We start from the raw sequence: 23,244 nt of genomic DNA, 5'->3' as shown, positions 1-23,244 counted from the left end.
AAGAAAGAAGATCAAGTATATATTTATAAAGTTTGCTATATTATTATTCTTATTTTCTGTTTCTGGTTGTCTTGTTTTGTTCCTATGGATTCAAATGACAACTGATGTCATTTTATACTTCAATACAGCTTTGTTCCCACCTGACCCCTCTGTGCTGTTATGGTCAAATACATATGTTCCTCCACTTACAACGGGTTGTACCATAAACCCATTGTAAGTCAAACATGCATTTAATACCCTTATAAACTCATTATGAAATTAAACATTTATAAATTGAACCATCATAAGTCCAGATGCTTCCCAACTTAGGATGGGGTTTTGTCCAAGTAAACCCATCATAAAGTCTAAAAATCATAAGTCAAACTATCAAAAGTTAGGAACTGTCTGTATACTAGATTTCTGCATGGTATATGCCCAATATAAAAAGTACAATTATATACAAATTGTGTTAGACAATATTTTATCAATCTGTTGAGAGTAGAAAAGAGACAAAACATGCATTTATACTATCTTTTTAAATTACACAGTTACCATTACCAATAATCATTCTTTTTTCATGCAGATTTGAATTACTATCTGGGATCACTTACTTTCAGCCTGACGAAATTTCTAAGTATTTTTGTAAGATGAGTCTGCTAAGAATATATTTTCTCAGTGCTTCTGTTATCTGAGAATATATTTATTTCATCTTCATTTTTACAGATAGTTTTGCTGGATGTATAATTCTTGGTTGACAGCTTTTTTTTGTTTTTTATTTCTTCTTTCAGTACTTTGAATATGTCACCCCACTCTTTCCTGGTCGCCATTATTCCTGATGAGAAGATCTTAATCTCACTAAGTTTCCTGTGTCCAAGCAAAGTCATTTTCCACTTGCTGCTTGCAGTATTTTCTGTCTTTAGATTTCAGCATTCTTACTCTGATATACCTGGGTAGATCTTTTTGCATTCATCCTACTTGGGGTTCAATGGGCTTCTTTGATGTGCAGATCATTTTTTCATCAATTTTTAGTTTTCACTCATTATTCTTAAAATATTTTTTTCTGCTCCTTTCTCTTCTCTTTTTCAGGTACACCCTTTATGTATATGTTGGTATGCTTAATGGTGTCCACATTTCTCTGAGATTCTATACATTTTTTAAAATTTGATTTTCTCTCTGTTTTTTGGGTCACATAATCTCTATCAATTTATCTTCAAATGTGCTAACTGTATCAAATATAATGTTGAGCCTCTCTAGTGGATTTTATATTTTGATGATAGAACTTTTCACTCCAGAACTTACATGTGGCTATGTTTATAATCTTCTCAGCTAAAACATTGTCATCATAGCTTCTTTTAACATATTTAAGCATGGTTCCCTTTAGTTTTTTGATATATTTATAAGGGATACTTTGACTCAGTTCTTTTTATTCTGTTAAATCTGACATCTGGGCCTTCCTAGAGGCAGATTTTATCGTCTGCCTCTACAAAGCAGACAATATTCCTGTATATGGCTCACACTTTCCTGTTGCTTTGCATGTCTCATGATTTTGAATTGAAAACTGGATATTTTACTTCATATACTGTAGCAACTCTGAATTCTTATCTTTCTCACCCCTTTTGGCACTTCTTGTTTGTTCTTGTTTGTGTGTCTATTTGTTTAGTAATGTGAGATGACTGGACTATTTCAGTGAATTCTATTTCCCCAGTAGTGTATAGCTTCTGATGTTTCTTCTCAGAATGTGCATACTTGGCCTACATAATCTCTCTGAGCACCTGGGAAATTCTGCTTCTATTAATATCATGCCTAGCTTTTAGCATCCACAAATTGCTTTCTAATTGTTCTATTTTTTTGAAGCAATGCTTTGAGGCATAAATTGTTCCACAGTTTGATCCAGTTAAAAGTAAGGCCCCTCTGCGGGGGGAGGATCTTTCCAGTCTTGAAGGCTGCTCTGAACCCATGAAGGCTCTTATCTTATTCTCTGGTTCTCTCTATTAAATATCTATCTCATCTACAATTTTGCTTTTTGTTATGGGTATCAGAGAGCTACAAGTCTCTTCTTAATTGCTCATTTGGTGATCTCCATTGTGTTCAACAATGCCCTCAGTCATGAACTCACAGTTTCTTCCAAATTAAGTAAACTCATTTAGGAAGAGATCTGAGCTCTTTGTTCTTATTTTCTGCCTCTCCTCTGGATAGAACTTCTGTGCCACTTTAGCTGGGCTGATGGTGAAGGCAGTGGCCCACTTCTTTTAGGGTGACACCTCTACTCAACAAGTGGTACTCTGGGCAGGGAAATAGATCCTGAACTTTTGAACTTGTCCTTGTTGACATTGAACCTCTACCCTAAGCAAGTTGGGCAGGGCTGTTATAGATTCCAGTTTCCTCGATCTGTTGTGCTTGGGGCATAACTTCTGCCATTAGAGTGGGTGTTGGGGAAGGTAAAGGAGATCAGTGTTCCCACTCATGGCTACCCAGAATAGAGATTCTGCAATTCAGGGCTGGAGTGGAATGACATGTTCATGCTGTTCCTGGAGTAAAACTGTAACCCTTGACTGAGAGCGAGGTAGGGAGGAAGCCCCATGTCTTCAAATGACTGAACTAGAGTTTTCATCACACAGATCTAGGAGGGGCAGGATAGAAATGGTACTGAGTTTCGGCTTAAGTGCCACATATTTTTGCTGTTCTTACATACATTTAGTAGATTTTCTTGAATAAATGGTTGTTCATTTACTGTATACCCAGATGACAATTTCCAAAGACTTTGCATGGTTAGTTTTAAAAAAATACTCACTCACTAAATGATTTTTATTTTCTACTGGGAATGTGGTTCACTATACTCTTTACACCACTATTTTGATAGCAAATTCCTCTGGTTGCCCTTAAAATAACATCGTTGCCTTTGATACTCTGCAGGCTTACTATAATATATATAATTGGACTTGCTTTCACTTATTATGTTGGTGGCTCATTTTATTTCTCAATCTGAAAGCTCTCTCCTTTTTCATTTTGGTAGTATTCTCAGCCATATAGTTTATAACATTGCTTCTTTTTAAATGTATCCTATTTAATTTCCCCTAGAATATTTAAAGTATTTTGTACAATTTCTATGTTTCTATATCTCTTAACCTCTCTTTTATATTCTCTAGTACAGTTCTCAATTTTGCATGTATCAGAATCATCTGGAGAGCTTCTTAAAAGAGATTACTGATCCCTGTCCTTAGAATCTCTGATTCCACAAATCTAGGACAGAGCTTAAGAATTTCATTTCTAACAAGTTTTCAGTGATGCTGAAATTCTGATGTGAGGACTACACTTTGAGATTTACTGCTCTAGTTCTTATATCTCTGTGCTGGATTCAGATGATTTCTTCAAATTTATCCTCAGTTTACAGATTAGCCATGTCTGATTTGCTAGTTATCATCTCCTACGTTTTAAATTTCAATGACTAGTCTTCATTTATAGAAATTCTGTTTTTTTAAAATCTCTTCTGTTTATTCATGGCTTCTTATTATTTTTTGGTTTATTTTCTGTATTTTGTCTTCGATCCTTTTAATCTCATTTTTTATAGTTATTTAAGAACCTATTTCAGATTGTACCATTATATCAAGTTCTGTGATGTTATTTTGTGTTGTGCCAATAGACTGCCTATTAGATAGAATCATTTCTTCATGTATTGGGTGACTTTTGATAAGAGGTTATCGTTGGCAAGAATTATTTGTCCATGAGAGTTTTGCTCATGCTGGATTATAGTAGTTTCTGTTTTATTGATTAAATCTGGAGTTTTATTTCTGCCAAGAGCTTGCAAAACTTAATAAGCCTAGACCTATTTTAACAATAAGTTCTCATCACGTAATTTATGCACCATGTGTGGTGTAAATTTGGATCCCAATTTTGGATTCTATGGGGGATATCTTATTTTAGTTTTACACCTCAGGTTCTGGAGGAATACCAGATGAGCAGAATTTTCTCTATTCCCTTTTGAATTGAGGACGGTTGATATGTGTGTGTGTGTGTGTGTGTGTGTGTGTGTGCACACATGCATTCATGTGGGCAATTTCTCTTCTAGTTTTTCTACCAAATAAGGTCAAGATTTTAGAAACACAGCAGCATGTATAGAATTGACCACTACCTACATCCTAAACTGGACTGTAAAGTATTATCACTTTTTTTCAGAAATCAGTATTTTAGGCTCTGGAATTTTTGTGCCATTTGCCTTTCATATTTTAATCTAATATTTATTATCTTAAACTGATATTTATTTCTATATATGAAGCTGGGGACATACACATCAGCTGAGTCTTATGAATATTGGGAATTTGTATTATTTAGTAATCCAAAAAATAAAATTTAAAAAAAATTGAAATGGGGTATTAATCAAGGAATGTGCACTTATGATCTGTACACTTATTGTATTTCATATATATATATATATATATATATATATATATATATGGAGAGAGAGAAAGAGAGAAGTTTTAAGTATAGGTAGCAAAAGCTACTTATACTGAATATTTATAAACAAGCATGCCCTATATTTAAGATTTACATCTTCTGGGTATGTTAACTTTCTTCTTCTATTGGCTACTTTTTACACCAGTCATTGTTGTAATAAAATTACCGATTTAAAATGTTTTCTGTTTCTTGAGAGTCAAAGAAAAGTTGAATTTACTATCACTTTTAAGCAGTGATAGAACTGACAAGCAATTGGACTAACATGTAAGTGCTCTGGTGCCATTATGATAGACAGTTTCCCAGTTCCACAGAAATCACAGTGTGTAGGTACCCCTAGCTTTTTATTTACTGGTATGTTCCAGCATATAGAATAGTACATGGCATAAAGTGGATATTTAATAAAATTGTTGAACAATGACATGAAGCTGTGAAACTGATCTAATCAAGGAAATAATTGTGACATTTGTAATCAAAGTCTGACATTCCACATATTAATTTCCAATCAGAGCTCTAGCCCCTGAGTCCCCTTTCCTAACTGAAACCCAGAGAATGTTCTAAACCTGACATGAATGTGAAGTAATGGCAAGAATGAGGGTGCTCTGTGGAACTACGACTATTTGTGAAACTCACCACTGCTTAAAACCTTAACTTTGCTGAGATTTATGCTCTTTCTAATGAAACAACTGCCCTTCGGATTAAAAAATATCCCATTGTTTAAGTGTCAGGCAGTTAGATTATTGTTTTAACAATCCCATAAAGAGGAAACGTGAGCTCACATGCAGAGGCTGGTTAATTTGCTAGTCACTAAGGTCACAACCTGGGCAGAGGATAGGATGAAAGTCAGCACTATTAGAAAGGTCCACTCAGAGCCACAGACATATCCAGTGTTCTTGCTTTTCCCTCACAGACAGAAATCTTGTTACTGGATAGGAGCAGGTAACTGACATAAGGAAAAATCAGCCTTCTTCCAATAGTCTCTAAATATTTGGCCATGGGGTCACATCTGGGCTTTGATTAATGAAAATTTCCCATAGAATCTTGCAGGTGTTTAATGAGTATTCCCAGAGTGTAATCATTTGTATGATTTTAATAAATTCTTCAATGGAAAGTGAGGTAAGGCTGGATTAGATTTTGCCAGTTATCTGCTAAGTTAAAATCAAAGCTTTTAGCCTCCTGTTATTCTTTAATTCGAAGAGTTTTTCTTTCCCAGTTTGTCCATCAGGAGTCAGCACCTCAGAGATCTTTTATTTTAGTCCCAGCATGATCTAGGGGCCACTTCTAAGACTAACAGAGCACACTGAATATACACTAGTATTACATTTACTGTGACTTTTATTAGTAATTAATTAACATACTAGTATTTCCTACTAGATACTATGCTCCTTGAGAATAAGGTCCGAATCTCATTTTCATAAACCTAGTAGCTGACACGGTACCTGGCACGTCACCTACTCAATACATATTTGTTAAATAAATGCATGATGCTCCACCTCACCCTACATGATGATTCTCAGCAAAAGCCTCCAAGAATCCAGCAGCATGAAAAAATCCTTTCCTCATGAGATCATTCCTTCCCGCTATTATGGAAAGCATTTGAAATGTCTCTCTGTGTAAGCCAGATGGATTCAAATTAATATAGCTAGAACAATGTGGCTCATCAAAAGTTAAAATTAAAATACAATGGGGGTCCAGTTTTTCTTTGTTAAAGTCCTCATATTCTTTTTCTTAAAATGCTAAAATATTTTGTTAAAAACAGAATATTGGAATGCTTAACATGTAGTTTGCTAGTTAGTTTTGTTTCTTCTTGAAATTTTCCTCCAAGGGGTGGCAGACAGAAAAGTAAATGTTGTATTGGAATTTGTTTTATTTAATCAGTTAATGATACAGAATCATCTCCTTTCACCAAAGTGGGTCCCCTGATTAACGAATCTCTTTTGGTTGTCATGACTAAACATTCTCGGGAAGTGGGAGAGGTGGGCAGGAATAGGGGGCACAGAGACATCAACCAGGAATTTCAGTAAGCCAGACCTGGGTCGGGCACACTGTTTCTCTACTTTCGTTGTCCTCATCTACTGAATAAGGGTCTTGATCTAGAATATTTCTTCCAGTTTTAACATGCCATCCTCTCTCTGAATTCTGAAACAATTCTGCCCTCTCTGGCACCATTATCACCAACTGATGACAGAGGAATCATATAGTTGCAAGGGATCTACCGGGCTTAAGATACAGAAGTAGGGTCAGAGTCAGAGTTTGGGCTGCTGCATCTGCACACAGTCAGGTACCGTCAGGATCCTCCATGTGCACACCCTTCCTGGGAATGCAGGATTTTCAAATACCAGCATGTTTTCAGGGGATTCTTCTGTAAGGCGGCAGGGTAGGGGTAGAAGAATGGTACATAGCAGGGAACATGAAAAGGAAGGGTGGGATACAGTTATTACCATGCTTACTACCTATTAATCTATCAATCATTAAACACTTACTGTATACCAGGCACTGTGCTGTGAACTTCCACCTCCAAACTCAATCCTCAAAATAAATCTGTGAATTAGGTACTGCTTTGAGTCCATTATACAGATGGAGAAATTAAGCCTCAGAAATAACACAGATTTTAAGTGGTGTGAATGGTAAACCCAGGCAGTCTGACTCCAGGGGCCAACCTCATAACCATTGACCTATAAAGAGTTTCTCACTTTTGCTAGTTAAAGACAAATAAACAAATGAAACACAGTGGGAAGGAACGATCTGACAAGTTCCCACATTCTCAATGTGAGCATCAAAACCTGCTCCAAAGAACCTTTGTCTCGAGTTCTTGGAGCAGTTCCTGCACCTGCACCTGCACCTGCAAAGAGCCCTGAATGTGAGATGGTGCAGGATCAACTCTGAAATGTAGTCCAGAGAGCTAAATCAATAACATATAAACAATGATAATGTTTGATTTTCTGGAGAGATATATATATATAAAATTGAAGTAAAATGGAACTCTGCAGGAGCCTAATTTTAAAACATCAATTTCTCAATGATCATGTTAATGCATAAAATGTTTTCTTTTCTTGAGTGCAGGATTTGCAAATACTTTCTCTATAATTTGATGCCATTATCAAACTTAATTCAATGACACACTGATTTGTTATTCATTCATTTATTCAACAAACATTTATTGAATGCTTTCTGCATGATGGGCACTGTCCCACACCCTAAAAAAGAGTTACAGAAAAATTAGACAACAATCGCTGGCCTCATAGAGTTTATGTCATGGTAATATTAAAGGCTCTGAAGTTTTATCATTCTGGTTTTATCTATCATCTGAGTATTGGTGGAGAGTAGAATGTTATGACCTTGGTTCTTAGGATCTGGGAGCTACATGAGGAAAATTTTTGCCTAGAATCTTAAAGAAGCTTCCCTATTCCCCACTCTTCTTTAGAAGTTTCTTAGGCCAATAATCTAGAACAGAGAAAAAATATAGAGCAACTTAATCCGCAGAGTCTAGAATCTCTGGCTCTGAAAGAAGACTTGATGAGAAAAGCTTACTTTTCTGTTTTTCTTTCCTTCAATGTCATTATGGCCAGCATAAGTTTCTTAGACAAAAGTATGTATAGTATCAGATGAAACAAGACAGTCATGTTGGGCCACAATGAGGGGGATAGCCTTTAATACACTTGTATTATAATAAATTTTTGATTTCTTAGTAAGTGTTCTTCTCCATGTTTAATGGTCTCACTTCATTTTTTTCCAGGGTACCATGAATTGCTAGGCCCAGTTACCATAAATCTGTTGGGCTTGAGCACTGTAAAACATGGCAGAGCATGAATAGTATACAGATGTGGGTATCGGGGCATGACCAAGTGTATACTGATTTTCCAGAATTAAATCCACGGTTGTCTTCATTTTTCAAAATTAAAACACAAACATAAATCACTGTGTTTTATCAGGAAACATTTCACTGTCTAGATGTAAGTAGTCACCAGGAAAGAGTGTATAGCTTGAATTTTGATCTTCCTTGGTTTCTTTTAGGATCTCTGCAATTTTAAAGTGACATAGGGTCAAAAATCAAAGCATCTTTTTGATGCTAACTTATCTCCTTTCTTTGGAGATTTATGATGATATCTTAATGGTCCATGAGCCTGTGCCTAATCTTTGTTAAGTCACTTAAAATTTTCCTTTAATTGCAATGGGTGGCTACATTTCATAAAATCATAGAATTGGAAGGTAACTTAGGTGACACACACACACACACACACACACACACACACTTGAAATCCCCGTGTGTCCTTGGCCAGTGCTCAATCAATATTTTATTTCACTGATTCTAGTAAATGTAACCTGTATCTGAAGGCCACCTTTTCTTTTTGAGCATATTTTTAATAAGAAAGTTATTTAGTTATTATAATACATTTCATGTTTACTTCTATTGCTGTTTTGTATTTTCTGGCTCCACGTGAAATAGCATGTCCACTTCCATGTGAGAGTCCTTCCTGCATTTGAAGAAAGCTTTTAGAAACTTTCAGTTTTCATGATGCTTGCCCTTTCTATTCATTGTTTCTCCAAACAATCAAAATGTATTTTTAGCATTTTGCCTAGATTACAGAATCAGAATATAAAATGTCCTGAATCCTAACATCCCCAAATCATCACTGTAAATGTTTGACTGCTGCCTGTATGTTTAGTTTCAGAAGAGCCCATAGCCTTGCTGAGATTCTATCATGCTGTAAGACTACTCCATCCTAGATTTACGGTTTCCTTCAATATATGGGGTCAGATGACAACTACCCACTAAAAGTCAAGTATTAATATTTTCTTTTACAAATCCTTGATCTACATTTTGTGGTACACACAATAAATAAATACCAGAAGCTGGAACTATGGCCTCTATCCCCTGTAGCACTCCTGCAGCACTTCTGTGCAGTCTTGGTTTAGAAACTATTGGGGACATAAAAGAAGGAAAGAGCATCTGCCGCCAAGAAACACACAGTTTACTTGAGGAGTCATGGTACCTGGAGGACATTATGCTAAGTGAAATGAAAGAAAAATATTGTATGGTCTCTCTTATATGTGAAATCTAAAAAGTCTAACTCATAGGAATGGAGAGTAGAACTGTGGTCACCCAGGAACTGGGGATTGGGGAAAATGGGGACATGCTGATCAAATGGTACAAACTTTTAGTTATAAAATGACAAATTCTGGCAATCTAATGTACAGCATGGGTGGTATTTGAAGTGTTAATTTGATTTTGACAGTCATTACACAATGCACAGATGTTCTTTGGCTTGTGGTGGGGCTACATCCTAATAAATCCATTGCAATTTGAAAATAACATCGTCTGAAAATCATCTAACACAAAGCCTATTTCATAATAAAGTGTTGAATATCTCATGTGGTTTACTGAAAGTGAAAAACATAATAGTTTTATGAGTACTGTATAAATGCATATCACTTTTGCACCATTCTAAAGTTGAAAAAATGTAAATTGAACCAGCATAAGTTGGGAACTATCTGCATACATATATCAAATCATGTTGTACACCTTGAATATATACAATTTTTAATAAGTTATGGCAGATGGTCATTAAGTAAAGAACAAAATATATAACACATTTGTGTGACATCAACTTCTGTGATTGTGTTTTGTGTGTGTGTGTGTGTGTGTATGTGTATTTGTGTGAGACGGTAGAAATCAATATAACAGGGTTATTTGGAAAATTATTTCTAAGAGAGGAGGAATGCAAGTTTACTACTTTGATTACTTCAAAATATAAATCATCTGAAAGAAGAATGCTAATGCTTGGTATTTAAACATTTATATTCCCTAAATTCCAGTAAAGCATGGGATTTTGCTATATCTTAATGATTTATGTGCTTTGAATTTCATGTTTAAAAGAGAAATAATGTGGGGAGCATACACTGTAGAGCCTTAATGCAAAATTATTTTCCACTTCCTCATTGCCCCTATTCATCTAGTAAGACTTCTTTTTTTTCTCCATGGTCAGCTAAATAACTGTGGAAGATAATAACTCATGGATGTGAACTTCATTGTCATTTTTGCATGTGTAGATATGTCCCTTGCTTTCTCAAATCCATGACCACAACTCTAAACTCTAGCAGGTACCAGAGGACGTAAGAAGTAGTAATAGAGTATTATGCAACATGAAAGGTTCAGGAACACCACAACTTCTGGTTTATTCTTTGCTTTTTACACCTTTATGTAAATATTGATTTAGATAAATATTAGAGGAGTGGTAGCTATACGTGTGATTTTGCAGTTTTGTTTTCTACTTACTCTTTCTTGACTTATAGGAGAAATATAGCCAAAACAAGAGCTGCAGTGTCATAATGCAAAATAAAGTTAATTAGTTCACACACACACACACACACACAAACACACTCACACCCCAACATCTGTGATGGCTGAGAAATTAAAAATAGAACAGAATGAGAGTTTGGGTGACATATTCCAGCTTGAATCTTTAAGAGCAGTTTAGCTGAGGCCCTTTGATGAAAAATTACATTGTGCTTCTTTTGCTACCATCTTTGTTTTAATTTCTAATCCAAACCTTAAATCTTGACAGATTGGTGGGGGTGGAAAGAAAAACAGGGCTTCTTGCTTCTAGCAGAGTCTCAATGTCCTGCTGAGTTTCCTGCCAAATCTGCAGGAATCCATATAGCCACCACTGCCCTATTAAGTGGGTCGTGAGACCCCATAGCTAGAAAAGACTTCCATATGCTGTCCATTTCAGTTCTACCCCATATCTGTTGCAATCATACTCCTGGCTGGCATGAACCTAAATCCTAAACTGGTTTTTATTTTTCTTATTTTAAATATTTAATTGACAACATTGCATATATTTAAGATGGATAATGCAATGGTTTGATACATGTGTAGACTGTGTAATCTTACCACAATCAAATTAACACATCCATCAGTAGCCATAGTTATCATTTGTGTGTGTAGAGGGCTGAAGACATTTAAAATCCACTGTTACCATACAGTGTTATTAACTATAGTCACCATGCTATCCATTAGTACTCACAACAATTCGTCTTACAACAAAAAGTTATTACCCTTTTTACAAAGTTTTAGTCTGATCGGATGGTGACTACAGTTAATAGTAATGTATCATATACCTGAAACATGCTGAGCAAGTAGATCTTAAATGTTCTCCACACAAACAATTAAGTACGTGAAGTGATGCATATGCTAATTAGGTTGATTTAAACACTTCACAACACATATATCAAAAAATTACATTGTTCATACATATATATGATTTATATTTGTCAATTATACCTTAACAAAACTGAACAATAATTTTAAAAATTTCGTACCCTATGAACAATATCTCTCCACTTCCTCCACCCTTCAGCCCCTGACAACCACTGTTCTACTCTCTGCTTCTATGAGTTTTACTTTTTTAGATTCCATACATAAGCGAGATTATATAGTATTTTTCTTTCTCTGTCTGGTTTATTTCGCTTAGCATAATATCCTCCAGGTTTATCCATGATGTAACAAATGGCAGAATGTCCTTATTTTTATGGCTGATAAATATTCCATGATACATGTGGCATCCATTAATGGACACTTCGATTATGTGTAGCCGTTGACTATTCTGAATAATGATGCAATCAACATGTGGTGCAGATATCTCTTCTATATACTGATTTCAAGTTATCAAGATATAGCCCCAGAAGTATATATTGCTGGAAAATATAATCATTCTATTTTTAATTTTTTGAGGAACCTCTATACTATTTTCCATAATGGCTGTGCCAACTTACATTCCCACTAATGGTGTACAAGGGTTTCCTTTCTCCATACCCTGGCCAACACTTGTTATCTCTTGTCTTTTTGATAATAGCCATCCTAACAAGAGTGAGGCAATATCTCACTATGGTTTTGATTTGAATTTCCTTGATGATTTGCGATGTTGAACACCTTTTTCATATACCTGTTGGTCATTTGTATGTTTTCTTTAGAAAAATGTCTATTAAGGTTTTTTGTTCATTTTTAAATCGGGTTTATTTGTATTTTTATATTGTCATATATATTGAGTTATTTGGATTCCTTATATATTTCCATATACCTTGTCAGATACATGGTTTGCAAATATTTTTCCCACTCTGTAGGTTGCCTTTTCATTTTGTTGATTTCTTTTTCTTTTTTGTTGAGATAGGGCCTTGCTCTGTCACCCAGGCTGCAGTGCACTGGCATGAATACAGCTCACTGCAGCCTGAACCTCCCAGGCTCAAGCAATCCTCCCACCTCAGCCTCACAAGTAACTGTGACTACAGGCATGCATCACCATGCCCAGCTAATTAAAAAAAATGCAGAGATGGGGTCTCACTATGTTGGTGAGGCTGGTCTCAAACTACTGGGCTCAAGGCATCTTCCTGCCTCAGCCTCCCAAAGTGCTGGAATTACAGGCATTTGACATCATGTCCAGATGATTGTTTTCTTTTCTATGCAGAAGATTTTTTTTTTTTTAATTTGATGTAGTCCCACTTGTTTATTTTTGCTTTTATTGTCTATGCTTTTGGTGTCATATCCAAAAAGTGATTGCCAAGACCAATATCATGGAGTTTTCCCCTATTTTCTTCTAGGAATTTTATGGCTTCTGGTCTTACATTTAAATCTTTAATCTATGTCGAGTTAGTTTTTTAATATGGTATATAAGAAGTGTGCAATTTCATTCTTTTACACATGGATATCCAGTTTTCCCATCGCCCTTTATTGAAGAGACTATCTTTTCCCCATTGTGTATTCTTGGCAGTCTTGTCAAAGTGTAATTAATCATATATGAATGGGTTCATTTCTGGGCTCTCTATTCCTGTCCATGAATATATGTGTCTGTTTGTGCCAGTACCGTGATGTTTTGATTACAATAGCTTTGTAATATATTTTAAAATCGGGGACTGTGATGCCTCCAGCTTTTTTGTTCTTTCTTAAGAATTGCTTTGGTTATTTGGGCTATGTAATGGTTCCATCCAAATTTAGATTGTTTTTTCTATTTCTGTGAAAAATGTCACTGGAATTTTGATAAGGATTGCATTAAGCATATAGACCTCTTTGGGTAGTATGAACATTGTAACAATATTAATTCTTCCAGTCCAATCCACAGAATAGTTTTTCATTTATTTATGTCTTCAATTTCTTTATTCAATATCTTACAGATTTCAGATAGTTTGTTGTTAGTGTATAGAAAACAACTGATTTTTATATGTTGATTTTGTATCCTGAAATGTTATTGAATTCCTTTCTTAGTTCCAACAGTTTTTTGGTGATCTTTAGGGTTTTCTATATGTAATATCATGGCATCTGCAAACAATTTAACTTCTTTTTTATGACTTTAATGTCTTTGATTTCTGTGCCTTTTATCCCGTGTAAGGTCAATGCTCATTATTTACTTATATGATCACATTTCTAAGTAGACATTGTAATTATTCCCACTTTAATTATAATGAAACTGAATATTAGAGCGATCAAGTGACTTGGCCCAGATGCTTCATTAATTAAATGGTAAAGCCAGATTTAAATTCAGATCTTTCTTTCTCCAAAGCTCACGCTGTTCACTAGCAAACTATACTGTCATCTTTTAACTTAAAATATAGAATCTCATTAAAATGCATATTACCCTGGAGATTAAGAAGTTGGAAAGGAAGTGATAAGGGGATCCTAACAAAGGGAGTTTTTCCCTTACTGTAATCTCCTAGGGCTGCTGTAACCAAGTACTGCTAAATATATGGTTTAAAAGGACAGAAATGTATTCTCTCACAGTTCTGGAGGCTAGAAACCTGAAACAAAGGTGTCAGCAGGCTCCTGCTCCCTCTAAGGACTCTATTTAAGAATGTTTTTGTGTCTTTTCCAGCTTCTGGCGATTACTGGCAGTTCTTGCTGTTCTTTGAACTGTAGCTTTATCATCCTAATATCTAATTCAGTTGTTATGTGGCCTTCTTTCCTCTGAGTCTTTGTGTCTCTGTGTCTTCACATGGCCTTCCATAAAGGTGTCAGTCATTGGATATAGGGCTCACTGTACCTAGTATGATACTATCTTAACTACTTATGTCTGTAAAGGCCCTATTTCTAAATACGGTCACATTTATCGGTACTGGGGTTTAGGACTTCAGTTTATCTTTACGGAGGACACAAGTTAACCCACAGCACTACCTTCCCATTTTCTTCTTTAGCTATGATTCCTTCAAAAGTTATGTTTGGGTTAGCTGGTGATTATTATATTTCTTGTAGGATGTAAAAAGACCATTAAAACTGTCTTTCCACTCAATCCAAAGGATTTTTAAATAAATTAGTGGGCAGAACAAAATCTTCCATTGCCTTATATTTCCCCAGGCCTATCTTTTGAGCAAATATATGAGCTGTTCATTAAAAGAGCTGCATATCGGAGAGATGCTCATTGTGTGCAACTGCACTCTACTACTAGAGAAGGAAAGGAAATAAGTAAGACCACCTAAAGCTACACAGAATATTCAGGGGGTGATATAGTGTTATCTTTCCTAACGTAGTGCACATTGCTATTTGTTGATTGTTAAATAAACAAGGATCATTCTTCCCTTGGAAGGTCTCAGTATGGTTTGAGGAACCCTGGGAAATATCATGCCATCTCACTATTTCATTCGTACTTTTCTATTCTTTATTTATAAACTGCCTTGTTCCAACAATGATTTAAAATAACAAGCTATAATAAATGTAAACTAAAGAAAATAAAAGGATGTAGATGATAATATTTTAGAGTCTGGTTCCTCCAAAACAAATGTTGTACTCTCCACTTGATCATTTTGGTGTCCCATAAATTAGTTAAAATTTGGGTATATTAAAAATATAGTGAAATGCTATAACTAGAATATTGTGTCGCTAGTTGAATCCTGGAACAAATAGCTGTACTTTAAAGGGAAGTGATATATTTGAAAAGGATTGGTGAGTTGTTTTTATCTAATCTTTCTGGGTGCTAGATGCTTGGCTGCTTGCAGTGAAACGTGGTCCTCAAAAAGTGAGGGACCTATGGCCTTTTGGTCATTTCTCCAGGGCAACCTGAGGCAAGAGAGCAAGCATGTATCAGGTCATACAACTGCCATCTATTTGCTGAACCCTGATCACAGAAACACTGTGCCACTTGTGATTCAAGTCAAGATCCACTTTCCTTGGTGACCAAGAAGCAGAAAGACGTTAACTAATTTTCCTTTTTCAGTGTCAGTATTTGCCATACCTGCTCTAGAATGGTGAAAATCCATTGGTTGAGAATGCTTCTCTTTCTTCCCACTTGATTTAGGAAAAATAAGAGGGTCCACTAAATCGTGTTTGTTTGTTTGTTTCCTTTTCCCTATGATTTTTTTTAAAAAATGGTTGAATTGTTTAAGTTGCCTTCATTAAGAGAAAAATGGTTCTTGGAAAAGCATTTATCATCAGTCATTATGTTGGGACAATAGGCATAAACTAGGATTTTCCCAGGCACCCCAGAACATGTGGCTATGCTGTATGTAAGTATCATCAGTGTATATTTATAGCATTGCAGCAAACTCTGATTCCGTAAAAGCAATTCTATGGTGAGCAGGTAGGAGGGATAGATTGGACAAGTTTGTTTCTCAGATGGTCTGACTCAATGGAAGGATAGATTTTAGAGAACCCAGTGTCATCAAGAGGTAGCATATTCTCCAAGCAGTCCTCCACTAGTACTTTCTTTCTGATGAATTTTGAAACCTGAGCTCCTGGGAATCTGAGATTACCTTTCTTGAGAATTTCTTGGATTGAGGGTTTTCCAGATTCACAGTCAAATGCAGCATCTTAGCCTTTAATAATCAAATATAACCGAGTATAAATTGACCTTTTCTTTAAAGAAATGTATGGATACCAACACACACTGAAATAGGAGGCCTTGCTTCATATGCTCTGATGTGAGCAACATTTGCTTCTACTTTGCAAGCAATGAATGCTTTGGCTTATTGGCAGCTAGTCTCTCTCTACCTTTTCCACACTGTACATTTGTCTACCGATTATCTGGGTGCTGAACAGACTCTGCCTGGAACTTATGGCATGTACTCTATGAGGCATTCCATCATCTTGATTTCATTGTCATTAAAAAGTCCCTGGCAACTCAGATGTTGAATGCTCATAGCAGGTCTGCCTGGTGGGGCACCTGTCCTCTTAGTCACCATTGGCCCTCTCAGTCATGGTTTCTTTTAATTGGCAATATTATCAAAACGTTCATTTCATTCATAATACCATCAACTTTTCTAGTCTGAAATAATTTCAAAGTTCATCAAGTTCACATACTTTTTTTTTAGAGTTAGGGAAATTGAAGTGTAGAGGTCATATGAGCTCTTAGTAGCAAAGCCCGTAATAGAATCCAGACATCTTGACATCTAGCTTAATCTATTTTCTGCTTTTGTAAATTTCAGGCAGTTCTGCTGAAAAAGATTGAACACACTTGGTTCACACATCCCTCTTCCTCAAACATCTTTTTATGGGTTAATTTCTGTCATTAAAAAATGTATTTTTCATGTCTCCCAGAATGTATCAACTGCAGGCAAGTTCAGGTAAAGTTCTCCATTTGCTTTTTCAGTTGACTTACATAAATAGGATTTATTCTCCAGGCTTGATATCACCTGAGATATTATAGCTCTCATGACTTTGGAATGTATCTGGTTGTGGTCAGATAAATACTAAGCACCCCCAGAGCTTCTTTAATCTGAAAATCTTCTAGAATGGGGGTCTGCAAACTGTAACCCGTGAGCCACATCTGGTATGCTGCCTGCTTTTGTAAATAGTTTTATCAGCCATGCTCATTTGTTCACAAAGCCTGCTTTCAACTACACCGGCAGAGTTGAGTAGCAGTGACAGAGAATGTTTAGCCTGCACAGCTTGAAATATTTAGTCTGACCCTTTATAGAAAAGGTTTGCCAACTGCTGCTTTGGAAACTATAAAAATCCCTTCTAATAATCAAGATTCTGTTTGTCAGATACTATTTCTTTTTTATTTTCTACAAGAAAAGCATTAGGTAATTTTAGAGTCATGCTAAGGTTTGTAAATAGACAATTTAGTTAATGACTTCCAGAACAATCCATGATGTTTTCCTTTTTGTTGTATGGTCATTCTTCCTGTGTTCTTGAATATTCATTTTTCCTGAAAGCTGACAGGTAATTATAAATTGAAATGACATCTCTTACATAAACATGGATGGTTTCTCTTTTTACATGTAAGAACCTGAAGATACAAATGTGTCTTTGATTTGTGAATTGACATTTGCAAGGCCTTAATGAATTATCCATAAGAAGAATATGGGAGAAATCAACATGCTTTGAAATTACTCTTGAGTTTTGTGCCTACTCTTGTTCTTAGTGAAGATGCTGAGGCAATAGATTTTTTTTTTAGTGATTATATTCATAGAATTGGCTTTGTAGTAAATTGCCAAAGTCTTGGATAATTTTTTGAGAAATTTTCAAGCAAATCTAATAAACAACCCGGCACCATTTATAAAGCTGACTTAATTTTGTTAGGTGCATTTCACCATTCAGCCTAATCATATTCTAAACAAGAAATAAATATCTGCAATTTGTATGCTTAGTCTTTTTCTTCCAATTTTCTCCAACAACACTGGTCAGTATTTCAATGACTTTTCTTAGTGTTGATATTTTAGGCAGTAGTTACTTTGTTACTGAATTCTGCAATGACTAATCACCATCACTCTGAAACTATCCTTCCTTCATCATAGTCTTGAGTCGCTTAACAGTGGGAATATGTTTGAAAACGTATTCTTTAGGTGATTTTGTCATTGTGCAAACATTATAGAATGTAAAAGATTTAAAAAACACAAAGGTACGCCTATGTAAGGTACTTACTGTGACTGAAGCGTTCAGGACTAAATGTTGCTCTGGGTGAGTGAGTGGGTGAGTGAGTAGTGAGTGAATGTGAAGGCCTAGGACATTGCTGAACACTACTGGAGACTTTGTAAACACTGTATAATCAGGCTACAGTACATTTATAAACAAATATTTTTTAATAATAAATTAACCTTACCTGTAATTTTTTACTTTATAAGCTTTTAATTTTTTAACTTTTTGATTCTTGTAATAACTTTCAGTTCAAAACACAAACACACTGTATAGCTGTACAAAAATATTTTCTTTCATTATATCATTATTCTATAAGCTTTTTTCCATTGCAAATTTATTTATTTTACTTTAAAACTTTTTGTTAAAAATTAAGACACAAACACACGTATTAGCCTAGACCTACAAAGGATCAAGATGATTAAGATATCATCAGGTGATAAAAAGTTTTCAGCTCCATAATAAATCTTATGGAACCACCATCATATATGTGATCTGTTCTTCACCAAAACATTGTTTGGTGCATAACTGTACTATAGTTGCTTATTTTAAAATCACTCTTTCATTCGACTGTATGTTCTGTGAAATCAGACACCAACTATATACTCTTCACTGTTGTATCCTCATTTCCTCATTTATTAGTAACTTCTTTATTCTGGACACATTATTGAGCATGTGCTATTGAGCTATGCTAATCCTGAAAAGGAGCAGTTTGAAGCAATCATGTCCCAGTCCTCCTGGAGTTTGCAATTATTTCCTAGCACAGTACTGAGCATATAGAAATTGCTTAGAGTTCCTCATTGAAGAAATACATTAATGAAGGATATTAGTGTTTGGTACTAAATCAGTAACAATTACAGTTAATTTTCTTTTATTCCACAGCTACAAGCCTCACATCTCAATAAGTAAGACTATTGATAACAAAAAGGATGAGAAATAGTATAGTTCAACACTCATCCACTGCTAGAAAAATAATACCTCACATATTATGAATGATGCAGAAAAGCTGAACTTAAATTTCATTTCCCATTATAATTTTTAAGTAAACATTTGTATTTATTGGGTATAAATGCCAAGATATTTATAGGGGCCTCTAAAGGCCCATACAATCTGTCTCCCCTGGAATTATAACCCATATCCTACATCTCTCCCCTTCATTCATTCTGCTCTCACCACACTGGCCTCTTTGTTCTTCAATCATGTCAGATGTGTTTCTGCCTCTAGATCTTTATTCTCTTTCCTCTATCTGAAACATTCTTCTTCAAAGAATGCACAAGGCTTACATTCTCAGCTCCTTTGCTCAGATCTTACTTTACTCATGTTGTCTTGTCAGAGACCCTTTCTCTGACTTTCCTATCATAAGTTTAATACCCACCTCCCCAGGTACTAACTATACTCACTTTCTGCTGGCTTTATTCATTCATTTGTTTCTGCATTTATTTATTTTTATTTTTAATTCATCCTTCTGTCCATCCTTTCATGTGTTCATTCACATATATTCAGCTATTTACATTCTTGGACTATAGTTACTACAGATTTAAGGGTCATTTGTATGTATTACGAGAAGCAAAGTTATATCAACATGGGTAAGGTAATGGAGAGTGCCTTGGCAAAATACAAATACAAATTTAATGCTATTAACATTCAAAAGAGTAGTGGTTACTGAATATTTCAATAATATCAAAAAAATCTAGTCTCTGTTTCTTAATAAATTTAGAACTCATCTGAACGAAAGCCATTGGCTACAAATGTTCATAGAATGGTTTCCAAATATTCTATAATCAATCTCTGTGCAACATTCGAGCAAATGTTGTGTGCAAATGACTCATGTATTTTTTTTCCGACATTTTAGGTCCTGAGGTATGACCTTTTCACTCTACTCCCAAATTTCAAATGGTTATGCTTACTAGAGTCCAGGCTGAAACATTGTTCAGGGTTGAAACAGGTGAAAGCTAGAAGCTACAGACTTTTGCCTTTTGATCGTATTGTCTCAATGCAGAAGTCCTTGAAAGCATCTTTTAAATTTTATCAACCCAAATGCCAAAACTTGCTGTACTCCCTGGAAAATGTTCTGAAAATTCTTAACCCACAGTGACAACTTCACCAAACCTAGGACCAGCAACTCAGGCATGCAAGTATGACATATTGTTTCCTATGCTATTCCTACATGGGCTTGGCTAAGATAAATACATCCTACTACATAAATCTCAATATCTATGTGGAGTTATGTGAATTATGTTGTGTAAAAACAGGCCAACATTTCAAAATTCAAAATCACTACTTTGATAATGATAAGACTACATTAGAGGAAGCATATGCAGGTACAGCCTGACACCTCATCGAAACATTGTCTTGTAATCTGCAAGCCAGAGGAGCCACTTGACTTTTAGTAGATGAGAAAACATGACACTTAGCTGTGGAGGGGAAATTGGACTTTATTGTTAGAAATTAGCCATTTGGGAAATTGTACTGATAACACATCTTAAAGGACTATGGTACCTATCCAGGACAATATTTTGACTAAAAATCAAATTATAATTTTTGTTCATAGAAGTGTTTCAAAATCTACAAAGAGATTACAGTGTTGTGAAGATTTTCTTTGGGAGAGAGGAATAAAACTTTAAGAATTTCTTCAAAAGTTGCATTTTATGTTTAAGAATATGAACCCAGTCTAGAGTTCTGTTGATTATGGATGCAGATTTTATTTTCAGTGTGTGTAGATGTTTGTAGCCATCTTATATCCACATATAATTGTTTATTTGCATGTTCTGAGGGTACCACATAATTTTTGAACATGCCATGGAAAGTTATTTTTTTCTCCCAGTCCAGCTGTTAGCTTGCTTAGTGTCCTTCTCAGACATCCTACACACTCTTTGGTTGCTGTTGGAGACAGTTTGATACCACAGTCTGTGATCATGGACCCTTCTGCCCAGGGAATGCATGACACATTTGCTGTTGGAGAACTGTAGTTCACAAGCCCAAGACTAACAGGTCTCCCTAAGCTTGCATGGTTCCACAAGAAAGCAGGAAGTAAAGCGTGGTTGAGTAGAACCTGTTGGTTTGCAGATCTCATTCCTAGTTTAGAGTAAATCAGTCACAGAAGATGCTGAAGGCAGCTGGTTTCTCAATCTCATCTGAAAATTGTAGTCCTATCATCATATATTTTCTACAGTAAGTAGAAATATATATGATTGAATCTATTTCCATTAGTTTTCTCATTTAATAAATTAAGTCAACATTCTCTCTTTCACCCTGAGGCTTTCTCTCATCAACAAATACATAATTGAGCTTTACTAGAAGCTGTGAGCTTCTTCAGTGGCCTGCATTTTGCCTTGGATCCCAGTACTGGATATCCTACTAGAAATGTTGGCTGTTCTTTCCTAAAGGCATGTTGAAGCCTTCAGTCCAGGAACGTATGACCAAGGAGCAAGCCAAGAGCAAGGGCAGAGTCAACTGAATGGCACAATCAGCAAATTTGGGGTAAGTCAACTTTTCCTAGACCCTAGCCTTGGCACTAGCTCCACTGCGTTCATTTCATAGATGCTGTTCTCATGGCCTTAATATTTTCTCCAGGCCCTTGTAAAACAATATGCATGGGATCATCAAAATCTGTGATGATTTCCATCAGGAGCCACAAACATCCTATCCCATGTTATTATCATTAAGATTATGTAGAAGTCATTGAAATTGTGGTTAGAAACAAATGTGGTATCCATTTGTAGATGTAATTGTTAATGGGATTTAGGCTTGAGAAAATACTTTACAAAGGTTGAAGCAAATCCTTTATTATCTGGATTATTTTTCTAGAAATCATCTCTGCTTCTGCCTACAGAGCTCAGAGACAGGCTAGACATGGATCGAAATTCCCATGTCTATAAATGTAGGGCTGAACTACAGGTAAACAACAGGTTAACTAATATTGACTTTAGTAAAACAAGTGTCATCTCAATTGCTTTCTCATATCTGTGAACTCTAAATGATGATATAGGCTACAACCACCAAAATCAGAAGAATCATTTCTGACAACAGCACTCCTGAAGAAATAGGATAGCCATAGTAATAACAAAGCAAGTGGTTTGTATTATACCTCAGGGCAGAGTTTTGTTTGCTTTTCAAGGCAATGGGATTAATAAAGAACTAGAAGGATTTTATTCCGAGTCTAGTTAGAGCACATCTCACATTCTTGATCTGTTTGAATATATTACGGCAACTGGGAAAATAATATAGTAATCTAAATCATAGGTACTCTGGATTTGTGTGGCAGGCAGAAATAAGACATAGGTTCAGAAGAAATGTATGCAAAATAGTTACAGGTTCTCTGTGAATGCCAGAAGATACATAAGCCAGATAAGATTTCTAGAATCATTGAAAGAACTGTTCCTTCTAAAGTATCCATCTTAGAGCTAATGATATCTCTTTTCCTCCTTATCATCCTGGTAAGGAAATGAAAGTCGGCTATGTAGGAACTTGTTTGGTGGGCTTCTATCAAGCAGCTGGTTTATTTATTGACATTAGGATTAGGTATATGGTATACTAGTGCCTGAGTTTTTATGAGGTTATTTCCAATATACTCTGCTTGATATCATCTTTGCTGGACAAGGAAGTAGAACTGACAGTTTGAATATCAGCTTCTTTCCTGGTTTTACATTTGAAAGGTTTGTTTGCAGAAATATTCATATATATGTATTATATATATGTTATGTATATAATATGAATGACTTTGGTGTACAATTAAAGATATTTTTAAATTATAAGTTATAAATTATAATTATAAATTAATATAATTATAAATTATAATAAACTATTCCTGTAATTATTATAATAACTATACATTATAATAAACTGTTGCATTCTCATGCAACTCTATTCCCTGTTAAGCAACTAGGGTTATCCTTTTGATCCTAGATATGAATCTGCCCTGGCAAACCAGAGGCTTCTATACCACCTGCAAGGGTCTCATCATTAGCCATATATTATCT

The 23,244-nt window shown here is 35.3% G+C and overlaps 1 long non-coding RNA gene across 3 annotated transcripts in view; it reads right to left on the bottom strand.

The window, feature by feature from the left end:
- LINC02624 (long intergenic non-protein coding RNA 2624) overlaps nucleotides 1-23,244 on the bottom strand; it is a 48,558-nt gene that overhangs the window by 24,302 nt on the left and 1,012 nt on the right. Inside the window, exon 2 of one of the 3 annotated variants that reach the window (NR_134329.1) lies at nucleotides 667-2,599. The exons of 1 other annotated variant lie outside the window; for it this stretch is intronic. This is a non-coding gene — a long non-coding RNA (long intergenic non-protein coding RNA 2624). Of the gene's footprint in view, nucleotides 1-666; nucleotides 2,600-6,277; nucleotides 6,791-23,244 lie in introns of those variants that run through there. One more of the 3 variants, NR_134331.1, reaches the window with a different exon arrangement.

This window comes from Homo sapiens, chromosome 10 (assembly GCF_000001405.40).
Source record: "Homo sapiens chromosome 10, GRCh38.p14 Primary Assembly".
Lineage (NCBI taxonomy): Eukaryota > Metazoa > Chordata > Mammalia > Primates > Hominidae > Homo > Homo sapiens.
The sequence above is the reverse complement of the archived record's forward strand: the minus strand, read 5'-3'. Positions and strand labels throughout refer to the sequence as shown.